Source organism: Homo sapiens, chromosome 15 (genome assembly GCF_000001405.40).
Source record: "Homo sapiens chromosome 15, GRCh38.p14 Primary Assembly".
In the NCBI taxonomy this organism is placed as follows: domain Eukaryota; kingdom Metazoa; phylum Chordata; class Mammalia; order Primates; family Hominidae; genus Homo; species Homo sapiens.
Genome location: NC_000015.10, coordinates 21,828,503 through 21,842,182, shown reverse-complemented (window position 1 = coordinate 21,842,182; position 13,680 = coordinate 21,828,503). Strand labels below are relative to the sequence as shown.

General features: G+C 43.3%; 1 long non-coding RNA gene across 1 annotated transcript; it reads left to right on the top strand.

Moving 5' to 3' along the window:
- On the top strand, window positions 1-9,888 carry LOC105379207 (uncharacterized). Its single transcript, XR_948845.2, has 3 exons — window positions 1-258; window positions 8,972-9,242; window positions 9,412-9,888. It is a non-coding gene; the product is annotated as an uncharacterized LOC105379207 (long non-coding RNA).
- The last annotated feature ends 3,792 nt before the right edge of the window (window positions 9,889-13,680 follow it).

The window sequence follows — 13,680 nt, the reverse complement described above, 5'->3', positions numbered from 1 at the left end:
GTTAGGGAGCTTCTCCCCTGCAGAGAATCCCTGATCTCCCAAAATTTGGTTGAGATCTAAGGTTGATTTTGCTATACAACTCCTTTTCTGAAGTTTTACTTATTTCCAACAAGGCAAGTTTTCCTGCTTCCGTGATGATGGAGAGCAGGCACCTCCTTTCTTGAGTTTCAGCTTGCTTCTGACAGGGAAGGTGAGTGTAAGTTTTTTCCAGCTTCTAAGATGGCAGAGAACAATCACCAGCCTGAGACTTATTTCCAGGTAAGTAGCTGAATTAGAGTTTTGTCTTAAAATTTTTCCTTAATGACTAAAATTTAAGATTACTCACCAGCTGCTTTTAATTTCTCGTTACCATTAGAACACTCAGTAATCATATGAATTGTGCATTTGTTTGTTTTGCTTAACTCTTTTTGTTTGTTTATGTTTGGGGTTTTGTTGTTGTTGTTTCACTTTTCTCCCATCTCTTCCTGACTTGGTCAAATCCAAAGAATGCTCCAAATTGTGGGGAACAAGGCTTCTGAATTGGCTAAAACTCATGTGGCTGCAAAAAAAAAAAAAATTCCAGTTAGCAGAAATGATTTTTTTAACTTTTTTATTTTTATTTTTTACATAAGTGGTTGCATCTTTTGCTAGCCAAGGCCAAACTGAGGGAGTAGTGGTGGCGACCCAAAGTTAAGATTCTGCCCTGTTCACTACAGAAACCTGAGTTTGGTTCCTAAGTCTAGTTCTTTCTGTTTGATATTTGTGTTACTTTTAAAATATCAGCAGTTTGTCCCAGCTATGATGTGGTAGTAAAAGATTCAGAAGTATTTTCTTTACAAGTTCTATGTTGAAAAGCTTAATTAAAAGCAAATTTATTTTTTTTTAATTATACTTTAAGTTCTGGGGTACATGTGCAGAACATGCAGGTTTGTTACATACGTATACACATGCTATGGTGGCTTGCTGCATGCACCAACCCATGATCTAATGCCATCCCTTTTCTAGCCCCCCACCCTGACAGGCCCTTGTGTGTGATGTTTCCCTTCCTGTGTCCATGTGTTCTCATTGTTCAGGTCCTACTTATGAGTGAGATCATGTGGTGTTTGGTTTTCTGTTCTTGTGTTAGTTTGCTGAGAATGACAGTTTCCAGCTTCATCCATGTCCCTGCAAAGGATATGAACTCATCCTTTTTTATGACTGCATAGTATTCCATGGTGTATATATGCCACATTTTCTTTATCCAGTCTATCATTGGTGGGCATTTGGGTTGGTTCCAAGTCTTTCCTGTTGTGAACACTGCCGCAATAAGCATACGTGTGCATGTGTCTTTATATTGGAATGATTTATATTTTTTTGAGTATATACACTGTAATGGGATTGCTGGGTCAAATGGTATTTCTAGTTGTAGATCCTTGAGGAATCATCACACTGTCTTCCACGATGGTTGAACTGATTTATACTCCCACCAACAGTGTAAAAGCATTCCTATTTCTCCACATCCTCTCCAGCTTCTGTTGTTTCCTGATTTTTTAATGATGGCCATTCCAAGTGGCGTAAGATTGTATCTCATTATGGTTTTGAATTCCATTTCTCTAATGACCAGTGCTTTGCTTCACATGTTCATTGGCTGCGTAAATGTCTCCTTTGGGAAGTGTCTGTTCATATCCTTTGCCCACTTTTTGATGGGGTTGTTTGTTTTTTTCTTGTAAATTTGTTTAAGTTTTTATAGATTCTGCATATTAGCCCTTTGTCAGATGGATAGATTGCAACAATTTTCTCCCTTTCTGAGGGTTGCCTGTTCACTCTGATGATAGTTTCTTTTGCTGTGCAGACACTCTTTAGTTTAATTAGATCCCATTTGTCAATTTTGGCTTTTGTTGCCATCGCTTTTGGTGTTCTAGTGATGAAGTCTTCGCCTATGCCTATGTCCTGAATGGTATTGCCTAACACAAGGACATTTCTGTGCCTGAATGCCATATCTCCCAAAGTAATTTATAGAATCAGTGCCATCTCCATGAAGCTACCATTGACTTTCTTCCCACAATTAGAAACACTACTTTAAATTTCATATGGAGCCAAAAAAGAGCTCGCGTAGCCAAGACAATCTAAGCAAAAACAACAAAGCTGGAGGCATCATGGTACCTGACTTCAAACTATTCTACAAGGCTACAGTAACCAAAACAGCATGGTACTGGTACCAAACCAGATATATAGACAAATGGAACAGAACAGAGGCCTCAGAAATGACACAACACATCTAAAACCATCTGATCTTTGACAAACCTGACAAAAACAAGCAATGGGGAAAGGATTCCTTATTCAATAAATGGTGTTAGGAAAACTGGCTAGCCATATGCAGAAAACTGAAACTGGGCCACTTCCTTACACTTTATACAAAAATTAACTTACGATGGATTGAAGAGTTAAACTTAAGACCTAAAACCATAAAAAACCTAGAAGAAAACCTAGGCCACCAAACTCAGGAGAAATGTACTTGTAGTGCAATGCATGGTACAAACACACATTCCCTGCTTCCTTAAGTGGGTGAGGTTGGTGGCTGGTCCACCTGCTCCAGGTGGATCCTTGCAGAGGTGGCTGGTTGCTCTTTGAGCCAGCTTGGCCTTGCCTGGCATTCACAAGCCTCAGTGCAACAACTGTGCTACAAATGGAGCCACACAGAAAATGACCAGCAGGCTCAGGAGCAGGGTGTACACTGCCTTTGGGGCTCCAGTCCATGCCTCAGGGCTCATATGGCACCGTGGGCTTCTTGGTTGCCAAGAGGCAGATCACAGGCCATCTTGTGGAGGACTTTATGTTCAAGTGCAGAAAGCAGCCAGGATTACAACCTAGGGGACTCAGCCTTTTGTGACCCTGGCCAGACTTAGAATTTGGCCCCAGGCATGACACGCTCACTCAGAGTAGCGTGTCAGTACCTGGGGCCTGTGCATGCCAGGCAAAGCCAAGCTGGCTCAAAGAGCAACCAGCCACCTCTGCAAGGGTGTGCCTAGAGCAGTTGGACCAGCCACCAATCTCACCCCCTCAACAAAGCCGGGATGGCCAGGTTCCCACAGCCTGAGTGGCTGCCACCTGATGGCTGATGGAGCAGAGGCCTGAGGAAAAGCAGATGGCACTGGGGCCCTACCTTTAGGGTAGAAGAACTGAGGTACCATGTCTGGCAGCAAGTGATGTTGGTGGCTGGTCCACCTGCTCCTGGCACACCCTTGCAGAGGTGGCTGGTTGCTCTTTGAGCCAGCTTGGCCTTGCCCAGCATGCACAAGTCTCAGTGCAACAACTGTTCTACAAATGGAACCACACAGAGGACATTAGAGGCAGGCTCAGGAGCAGGGTGTACACTGCCTTTGGTGCTCCAGTCCATGGCTCAGGGCTCATATGTCACTGCGGGCTTCTTGGTTGCCAAGAGGCAGACCACAGGCTGTCTTGAGGAGGACTTTATGTTCGAGTATAGAAAGCAGCAGGATTACCACCCAGGGGACTTGGCGTTCTGTGGCCCTGACCAGACTTAGAATTTGGGCCAAGGCAGGACAAGCTCACTCACAGCAGCATGTCAGTAGCTGGAGACTATGCATGCCAGGCAAGGCCAAGCTGACTCAAATAGGAACCAGTCACCTCTGCAAGGGTGCACCTGGGACATGTGGAGCAGCCACCAACCTCAGCTACTCAAGGAAGTAGGGATGGCCAAGTTCCCACAGCCTGAATGGCTGCCTCCTGATGGCTGATGGAGCAAAGGCCTGAGGAAAAGCGGATGGCACTGGGGCCCTACCTCTAGGGTAGAAGAACTGATGTGCCCTCACCTGCAACAAGTGAGTTTGGTGGCTGCTCCACCGGCTCCTGGCACACGCTTGCAGAGGTGGCTGGTTGCTCTTTGAGCCAGCTTGGCCTTGCCTGGCATACACAAGCCTCAGTGCAACATCTGTGCTAGGTATGGAGTCACAGAGAGGAAATGAGCAGCAGGCTCAGGAGCAGGGTGTGCGCTGCCTTTGGGGCTCCAGTCCATGCCTCAGGGCTCGTGTGGCACTGCGGGCTTCTTCGTTGCAAAGAGGCAGACCACAGGCCATCCTGAGGAGGACTTGATATTCAAGTGCAGAAAGTAGGCAGGATTACCACCCAGGGGACTCTGCCCTGGACAGAGATAAAATTTGGGCCAAAGCAGAACAAGCTCACTCAGAGCAGCATGTCGGTAGCTGGGGCCTGTGTATGCCAGGCAAGGCCAAGCTGGCTCAAAGAGCAACCAGCCACCTCTGCAAGGGTGCACCTGGAGCAGGTGGAGCAGCCACCAACCTCACCCACTCAAGGAAGTAGGGATGGCCAGGTTCCCACAGCCTGCATGGCTGCATCCTGATGGCTGATGGAGCAGAGGCCTGAGGAAAAGCAGATGGCATTGGGGCTCTACCTCTTGGGTAGAAGAAGTGATGTACACCGACCAGCTGTGAGTGAGGTTGGTGGCTGGTCCACCTGCTCCTGGCACACCCTTGCAGAGGTGGCTGGTTTCTCTTTGCGCCAGCTTGGCCTTGCCCAGCATGCACAAGCCTCAGTGCAACAGCTGTGCTACAAATGGAACCACACAGAGAAAACAGAGCAGCAGGCTCAGGAGCAGGGTGTGTGCTGCATTTGGGGCTCCAGTCAATGCCTCCGGGCTAGTATGGCTCTGTGGGCTTCTTGGTTGCAAAGAGGCAGACCACAGGCCATCTTGAGGAGGACTTTATGTTCAAGTGCAGAAAGCAGCCAGGATTACCACCCAGGGGACTCTGCCTTCTGTGGCCCTGACCGGACTTAGAATTTGGCCTAACTCAGGACAAGCACACTCAGAGCAGCGTGTCAGTAGCTGGAGCCTGTGCATGAAAGGCATGGCCAAGCTGTCTCAAAGAGCAACAAGCCACCTCTGCAAGGGTGCTCCAGGAGCAGGTGGAGCAGCCACCAACATCACCCACTCAAGGAAGCAGGGATGGCCAGATTCCAACAACCTGAGTGGCTGCCTCCTGATGGCTGATGGAGCAGAGGCCTGAGGAAAAGCAGATGGCACTGGGACCCTACATCTAGGGTAGAAGAAGTGATGTACCCTGACCGGCAGTGAGTGAGGTTGGTGGCTGGTCCATCTGCTCCTGGCACACCCTTGCAGAGGTGGCTGGTTACTCTTCGAGCCAGCTTGGCCTTGCCTGGCATGCACAAGCCTCAGTGCGACAACTGTGCTACATATGGAGCCACATAGAGGAAACGAGCAGCAGGCTCAGGAGCAGGGTGTGCGCTGCCTTTGGGGCTCCAGTCCATGCCTCAGGGCTCGTGTGGCACTGTGGGCTTCTTCGTTGCCAAGATGCAGACCACAGGCCATCTTGAGGAGGACTTTATGTTCAAATGCAGAAAGCAGCCAGTATTACCACCCAGGGGCTCTGCCTTCTGTGGCCCTGGCCAGACTTAGAATTTGGCCCCAGGCAGGGCAAGCTCACTCGGAGCAGTGTATCAGTAGCTGGGTCCTGTGCATGCCAGGCAAGGCCAAGGTGGCTCGAAGAGCAACCAGCCACCTCTGCAAGGGTGCACCTGGAGCAGGTGGAGCAGCCACCAACCTCACCCACTCAAGGAAGTAGGGATGGCCAGGTTCCCACAGCCTGCATGTCTGCGTCCTGATGGCTGATGGAGCAGAGGCCTGAGGAAAAGCAGATGGCACTGGGGCTCTACCTCTTGGGTAGAAGAAGTGATGTACACCGACCGGCTGTGAGCGAGGTTGGTGGCTGGTCCTCCTGCTCCTGGCACACCCTTGCAGAGGTGGCTGGTTTCTCTTTGCGCCAGCTTGGCCTTGCCCAGCATGCACAAGCCTCAGTACAACAACTGTGCTACAAATGGGGCCACACAGAGAAAACAGAGCAGCAGGCTCAGGAGCAGGGTGTGTGCTGCATTTGGGGCTCCAGTCAATGCCTCCGGGCTAGTATGGCTCTGTGGGCTTCTTGGTTGCAAAGAGGCAGACCACAGGCCATCTTGAGGAGGACTTTATGTTCAAGTGCAGAAAGCAGCCAGGATTACCACCCAGGGGACTCTGCCTTCTGTGGCCCTGACCGGACTTAGAATTTTGCCTAATGCAGGACAAGCTCACTCAGAGCAGCGTATCGGTAACTGGAGCCTGTGCATGCCAGGCAAGGCCAAGCTGTCTCAAAGAGCAACCAGCCACCTCTGCAAGGGTGTGCCTGGAGCAGATGTAGCAGCCATCAAACTGACCCACACAAGGAAGCATGGATGGCCAGGTTCCAACAGTCTGAGTGGCTGCCACCTGGAGACTGATGGAGCAGAGGCCTGAGGAAAAGCAGATGGCACTGGGGCCCGACCTCTATGGGAGAAGAACTGATGTGCCCCAACCGGCAGCGAGTGAGTTTAGTGTCTGCTCCACCGGCTCCTGGCACACCCTTGCAGAGGTGGCTGGTTCCTCTTTGAGCCAGCTTGGCTTCGCTCGGCATGCACAAGCCTCAGTGCAACAACTGTGCTACAAATGGAGCCACAGAGAGGAAATGAGCAGCAGGATCAGGAGCACGGTGTGCACTGCCTTTGGGGCTCCAGTCCATGCCTCAGGGCTCATATGGCACTGCGGGCTTCTTCATTGCCAAGGGGCAGACCACAGGTCGTCTGGAGGAGGACTTTGTGTTCAAATGCAGAAAGCAGCCAGCATTACCACCCAGGGGACTCTGCCTTCTGTGGACCTGACCAGACTTAGAATTTGGGCCAAGGCAGGACAAGCTCACTCAGAGGAGCATGTCAGTAGCTGGGGCCTCTGCATGTCAGGCAAGGCCAAGCTGGCTCAAAGAGCAACCAGCCACCTTTGCAGGGGTGCACCGGGAGCAGGTAGAGCAGCCACCAACCTCTGCTACTCAAGGAAGCAAGGATAGGCAGGTTCCCACAGCCTGTGTGGCTGCCACCTGATGGCTGATGGAGCAGAGGCCTCAGAAAAAGCAGATGGCACTGGGGCCCTACCTCTAGGGTAGAAGAACTGATGTGCCATGTCTGGCAGGCAGTGAGTGAGGTTGGTGGCTGGTCTACCTGCTCCTGGCACACCCTTGCAGAAGTGGCTGGTTCCTCTTTGAGCCAGCTTGTCCTTGCCCAGCATGCACAAGCCTCAGTACAACAACTGTGCTACAAATGGAGCCACACAGAGGAAATGAGCAGCAGGCTCAGGAGCAGGGTGTTCACTGCCTTTGGGGCTCTAGTCCATGCCTCCGAGCTTATATGGCACTGCAGGCTTCTTGGTTGCCAAGAGGCAGACCACAGGCCATCTTGAGGAGGACTTTATGTTCAAGTGCAGAAAAAAGTCAGGATTACCACCCAGGGGACTTGCCCTTCTGTGGCCCTGGCCAGACTTAGAATTTGGCCCCAGGCAGGACAAGCTCACTCAGAGCAGCTTGTCAGTAGCTGGGGCCTGTGCATGCCAGGCAAAGCCAAGCTGGCTCAAAGAGCAAGCAGCCACCTCTGCAAGCATGCTCCTGGTGCAGTTGGACCAGCCTTTAATCTCACCCACTCAAAGAAGCATGGATGGCCAGGTTCCAACAGCCTGAATGGCTGCCACCTGATGGCTGATGGAGCAGAGTCCTGAGGAAAAGCAGATGGCACTGCTTTGTAATGCCCTTTGTCTCTTTTGATCTTTTCCATTTAAAGTCTGTTTTATCGGAGACTAGGATTGCAACCCCTGCTTTTTTTTTTTTTTTTTTTTTTTTTTTTGCTTTTCATTTGCTTGGTAAATATTCCTCCGTCCCTTTATTTTGAGCCTGTGTGTGTCTTTGCATGTGAGATGGGTCTCCTGAATACAGCACACCAATGGGTCTTGAGTCTTTTTCCAACTTGCCAGTCTGTGTCTTTTTACTGGGGCATTTAGCCCAGTTACATTTAAGGTTAATATTGTTACATGTGAAATTTATCCTGTCATGATGTTGTTAGCTGTTTATTTTTCCCATTAGTTAATGCAGTTTCTTTATAGTGTCGATGGTCGTTACAATTTGGTATGTTTTCCCAGTGGCTCATACTGTTTGTCCCTTTCCATGTTTAGTGCTTCCTTCAGGAGCTCTTGTAAGGCAAGAATGTGGATTTATTTCTTGTAAGGCAAATATGTGGATTTATATCTGGGTGCTGTATTCTATGGCCTCTACCCCAAGAGTCATTACTTTTAAAAATGCAATTCAAATTAGCATAAAACATTTACAGCCTAGGGAAAGGCTTATGGCATTAGAATCCTTATTTATAGGATTATTTTGTGTTTTTTTGAGATATGGTCTCTGTCTGTCATCCAGGCAGAAGTGGAGTGGCTTGGTCATAATTCACTGCAGCCATGAACTCTGAGTCCAAGCCATCCTTGTGCCTTAGTCTCCCAACTAGTTGGATCTACAAGCATAAGTCACCATGCCTGGTTAATTTTAAATAAAATTTTTTGTCGAGATTATGTTATCACTATGTTGCTCTGGCTGGTTTCAAATTCCTGGCCTCAAGTAATCTTTCTGCCACAGCCTCCTATAGTGCTGGGATTACAGGCATGAGCCACCATGCCTAGCATAGAGTATTACATTATTTTCAAAGTCTTATTCTAAGAGCCATTTATTGACTTTGGCCTAAATAACTCAATATTATATCTCTGAAACTTTTTTTGACAAATTTTGGGGCACGATGATGAGAGAAAGGGGTTTGAAACTTTCTAATAAGAGTTAACATAGAGCCATTTAAGGAGGAAAAAACACAAATTATCAGAAAAGTAAAAGAAAGATCAAGTGCAAAAGTTCTGTGGCAAAGATGATAGTAAAGAATATATGTGACTTATGGTGGCTTTTACTTTGTTCTTGAATTTCTGAGTAATTTAAGGGTTAACATTTAAAGAATCTACATTATAGATAACATTTTATTGCAAGTAAATGTATTTCAAAATTTGTTACTGGTTTTGTATGAGATTATTCTCAGCCTACTTCATTTTCAAGTTATATTATTTTATTAATGTAGTTTGGTGATCTTACAGCAGAGCTGGAAGCTGTATCTTCAAAATATGTCTGTTTGACTCAAAACAATCAAGGTATTCAACAGGAGTTATTATGTATGAAAAAATACAACAGGAATGTAAAAATCTTGAGGAGGCTAAAAAGATGTTGGAAAAAGTAATATTAAATCTTAAAAGACGTATGGAAAGTACACATTGGTGAAGACACATTGGTGAAGTACAAAAATATAAATTGGATCTAGAAGAAAGGGCAATGCAGGCAATGGAAAAATTAGTACAAATCCCTTTACAGGTTAGTTTGTAAAATCAGGTAAGTTTATTTATAATGTGCTTTCACTTATTTCACTGCAATGGCTCTCTTATAGTAATTTGCCTTGTAGAGTTCTAGCAAAGAGGTGGCATCTGTTTTTACTTTTATATGTTTAAATTTCTATCATTATAACAAAATCGATTTTTCACAGTAATGATTCTCAGTGTGGAGTCATTTGATTATTAAGACCCATTGACATGAGATTACATCCTCTGCCTATAAAAATCCTGGAAGAAAACCTAGGAAATATTCACCTGGACATTGCACTTGGCAATGAATTTATGGGTAAGTCCTCAAAAGCAATTGCCAGAAAAATAAAAATTGACAAGTATGATTTAATTAAACTAAAGAGCTTCTTCTGCACAGCATGAGAAACTCTCAAGGGATTGAACAGACAGCCTACCGAGTGGAAGAAAATATTCACACACTATGCATACAGCAAAGGCCTATTATCCAGAAGCCATAAGAGACTTAGGCAAATCAACGAGCAAAAAATAAATAACCCCATTAAAAAATGGGCAAAGAACGTGAACAGTTTTCAGAAGAACACATATGTGGCCAACAAACATATTAACACATGCATACCATCACTAATCATCAGAGAAATGCAAAACAAAACATCAGTGAAATACCATCTCACACCAGTTAGAATGACTTCTGTTAAAAAGGAAAAGTAATAAAAATATTTAAATATTTAATATTAAAATGTCATTTAGATTGAGATAAATTAACTTGTCATTATCATTAATTCTCAAAACATGGATATTTAAGAATAACCTTACTTCACATGTAATAACACAACAACTACCTTAAAAACTAAAAGCTGGGGCCTGGCACGGTGTCTCAAGTCTGTAATCCCAGCACTTTGGGAAGCTGAGGTGGGCCGATCATGAGGCCAGGAGTTTGAGACAAGCCTGGCCAACATGGTGAAACCCCGTCTCTACTAAAAATACAAAAATTAGCTGGGCATGGTGGTGGGCACCTGTAATCCCAGCTACTCAGGAGGCTGAGGCAGGAGAATCATTGGAACCTGGGAGGCGGAGGTGGTTGCAGTGAGCTGAGATCACACCATTGCACTGCAGCCTGGGCAACAGGGCGAGACTCCATCTCAAAAAAAATAAATAAAATTAAATGAATACAAACAAATAAATAAAAGCTGGAAGTTCTATGAAAACATTAATGCACATACCATTTTTTAAAAATGTTCATGGTTTCTCTAGAGATTTCAATACCTATTCTAGCTTATTACAGTAACCTATAATTTGTACTATACCAACTATGGTATAAAAACCTTAAAATGTATATTTCTGTTTCCTCTCTCCTTTATACTATTTATGTCATGCATTATAGTCTCAAATATTATGAATTCCATAATATAAAGTTACTCTTTTTTTAAAAAATTAGACAATCAATTATCTTTAGAGCAATGTAAAATAATTGGGTTATATATCTTTATATCTTCTCTGGCATTATTTATTTCTTTGTGTAGTTTCAACTTTCACCTGCTTCCATATTCCTTTTGCCTCAAGAAATGATTTTGACATTTATTTTAGTGCATACCTGTTAGCAAGGGACTCTTCCAGTGTTAATCTGCAAATGTCATTTAATTGTTATTTTTGCTGTATTACAGTTAATGGATATAAGATTGGGGGTTGACTTTTCTTCAGTTATTTAAGAATTTTGTATCATTGGTTTCTGACTTGTAGAGTTACTGACAAGCAGTTCATTACAATGTTTGTTTCTGTTTATCTCTCTACACAGTGTTCTTATTTTTTCTGTGACTGAATTCAAGATTTATGCTAATCGTTGGTTTTCAGCAGTTTCACTAGTGTGATTATTCTAGCGTTCTTTAAATTTTGTATTAATCTTTCTTGTATATTTTGAGGTTATTTGGTCTCCTCAGTCATCTTTTTCAAATTTTTCTTCTCTCACATTCTGTTTTTACTCTCCTTCTGTAATTCCAATTAATTGTATTTTGGTTAATTTCATATTACCAGAAAATTCTTTGATTCACTGGAGTATTTTATTTGCTTGGTTCATTGGTTTATTTGGTTTTTCTCTTTCCTCCCTTTGTGCTACCATTCAAATGATTTGTATTGACCTAGTATAAAATTTACTGCTTCTTTCTTTAACTCTGATGACCAGTCTGCTAATCAGCTTGCTGATGTAATACTTCATCTCTGTTCTCATGCTTTCACTTATTTCTAGATTTTGCCTTTTACTGTTCCCATCTTTGCTGAAATTCCTCATTTTTCCATACATGTTGTCTTTTTTTAACTAGATCCTTTAACATTTTGATCATTATTATTTTAAATTACTTTCATTTAGTTCCAACATCTGAATTATCTCTGAATTTGATTCTGTTGACTTTTTATCCTTTGAAAATATTATAACTCATAACTCAAATTTCTAACTTGCTTTTATGTGTCTCCCAATTTCTAAAAAATGCAAATCATCTGATGTAGAAAAACAGTAGATCATGAGATAATTATTTATGTCGAGATTGTTTTATATTTCTGTTTCATTTTTGTTTGTGTCATGCGATTAGTGTGGGCAGGAACAAAGGTTGCTTTTTGCTGCGGTGTCTGAAACATTCAGTGAACAATGTAACTCAGATTTCTCCAGCAGTAGACTGCTATATGATGTGCCTTGTGTGGGGCCTTAGACTCTGGAGAGCATATGCCAATGATCCTGTTCCACAGTTAGCTTTCGGTAGTCCTTACAACCTATGTTATAGAGAGGGTCTCTCTCCACTTTCTTGTTCTTCTCTAACTGTAGAACATCATTTTGTGTGTGTGTGTGTGACTAGGCAAAAAATTCAGGTTGGGGACAGAGGGATGGTTTGTGTTGTTTTTGAGCCAGTTTCATCATTGGACACTCAGAGATGGGGTATTTTTAACGCTTCTTGACTCTTTTTCTAGTGGGAGTCAAACTGTCACTTACCTGTGTTGTTTTTTGCAGAAGAAATAATACCTTACCCTCCTCCCACCTCAGTAGTAGAAAACCCCTGATTTATATCATTGCAAGTTTTCAACCCCACAATAAGGGCAAACTCTTTTATTTCTCCTTCCATAGGAACAATGTACCTTTGTCTGTGGTCACTGGATGGAGACTTTCCAAACCTTTACCACAGTAGCACGACTCTGCATTAGTGCAAAATCCTGGGCCCCAAAACAATCCTTGTTCCTCTCCTGATGGAGGAGTATTTTTCTTGCATCCCTCTCCCAGAAGCAGTGATCCTTTGCCTGGTGTCAGGTGGGGTAGGGTAGGGTATGAGAGGTTTCTTAACCTTCTCTGGAAGCTGATGTGTTTTGCTTCTTCTTATCTCCCAGAAACAGTAGACTTTTGCATGGGTTCATGGACCCAGATGCTTTTTTGCCACAGCAAATTAAGGGTTTTGATTCTTAGGAGAGAAGCAAATGTTCACGTAGTCAATTTTTTTCTTATTTATTTTTTGCTTTGTTTTCTTATTTCAGTAATGATGAGTTCAATATGATCATTATTTTCCACTTACACTGCTTGCAACTCTAATATTTTGTTTTTGTTAGTCCCCCTTTGACAGTTCAGCACTAAATCAAATGCAGATAATCATCAGTTGTGTGAATAAAGTGTTTTTAATTGAGAACAAAATTATTGATATAGACACAAATTTGGATATTATCCTACTTAGCACAATATGTCGCTGGTTCAAAATGTAAAAACCTCTTTAGGCTGAGCAAATAATGGTTCTTGGAACTATTGTCCCATTTTGACAAATAAAACCCAATGCTTTTTATCTCATGGATAGATTATTAAAATAACTACATACCTGATCTTCATTTTATGTTCTCTCTCTTCAAGATATTCCTTCAAAACCACTTTGACTGATTAGTCTCTTTTGAATTATGTTAGACTCTGTATTTTCTCCACAAGCTCATCAGTGTAAATCCTGCCTTTACATTTTTTATAAAAATTCTCTTTTTTTTTCAAATCTTAGTTGAGCTGAAAGATTTCCACCAAATGTCTCCTATGCCACAAAGCCTTATTTTACTTATCTCCCCTGTCCTCCTTGCTCAAGCTCATTTAGGAATATTTTAATTAAAACATTCATGCAATACTGTTTTTTAAAAAATCTGAACATATAGTATTTTCAATCTGAATACAAAATAGTGCTCTAATTTGAAAACAAGTTTTAGATACAAATGTTTCTAGAAGGAGAATCAACAGTGTCATAAATATCATAATCCAATTTTCCTGTTTGTACTAAAACATTAGCAAATATTTATTGAGAAATTGCCATCTGCCTGAAAGTATAATGCTTTTGATGCACATTATATCATAAAAACTAGGTACTATTATTAGTAGTATCTTAAGAGTATGAATATCGAGTCTTAGAGATGTTAAGCAACGTGCCCAAATAGCATGGGGAAAGTTGGAATTC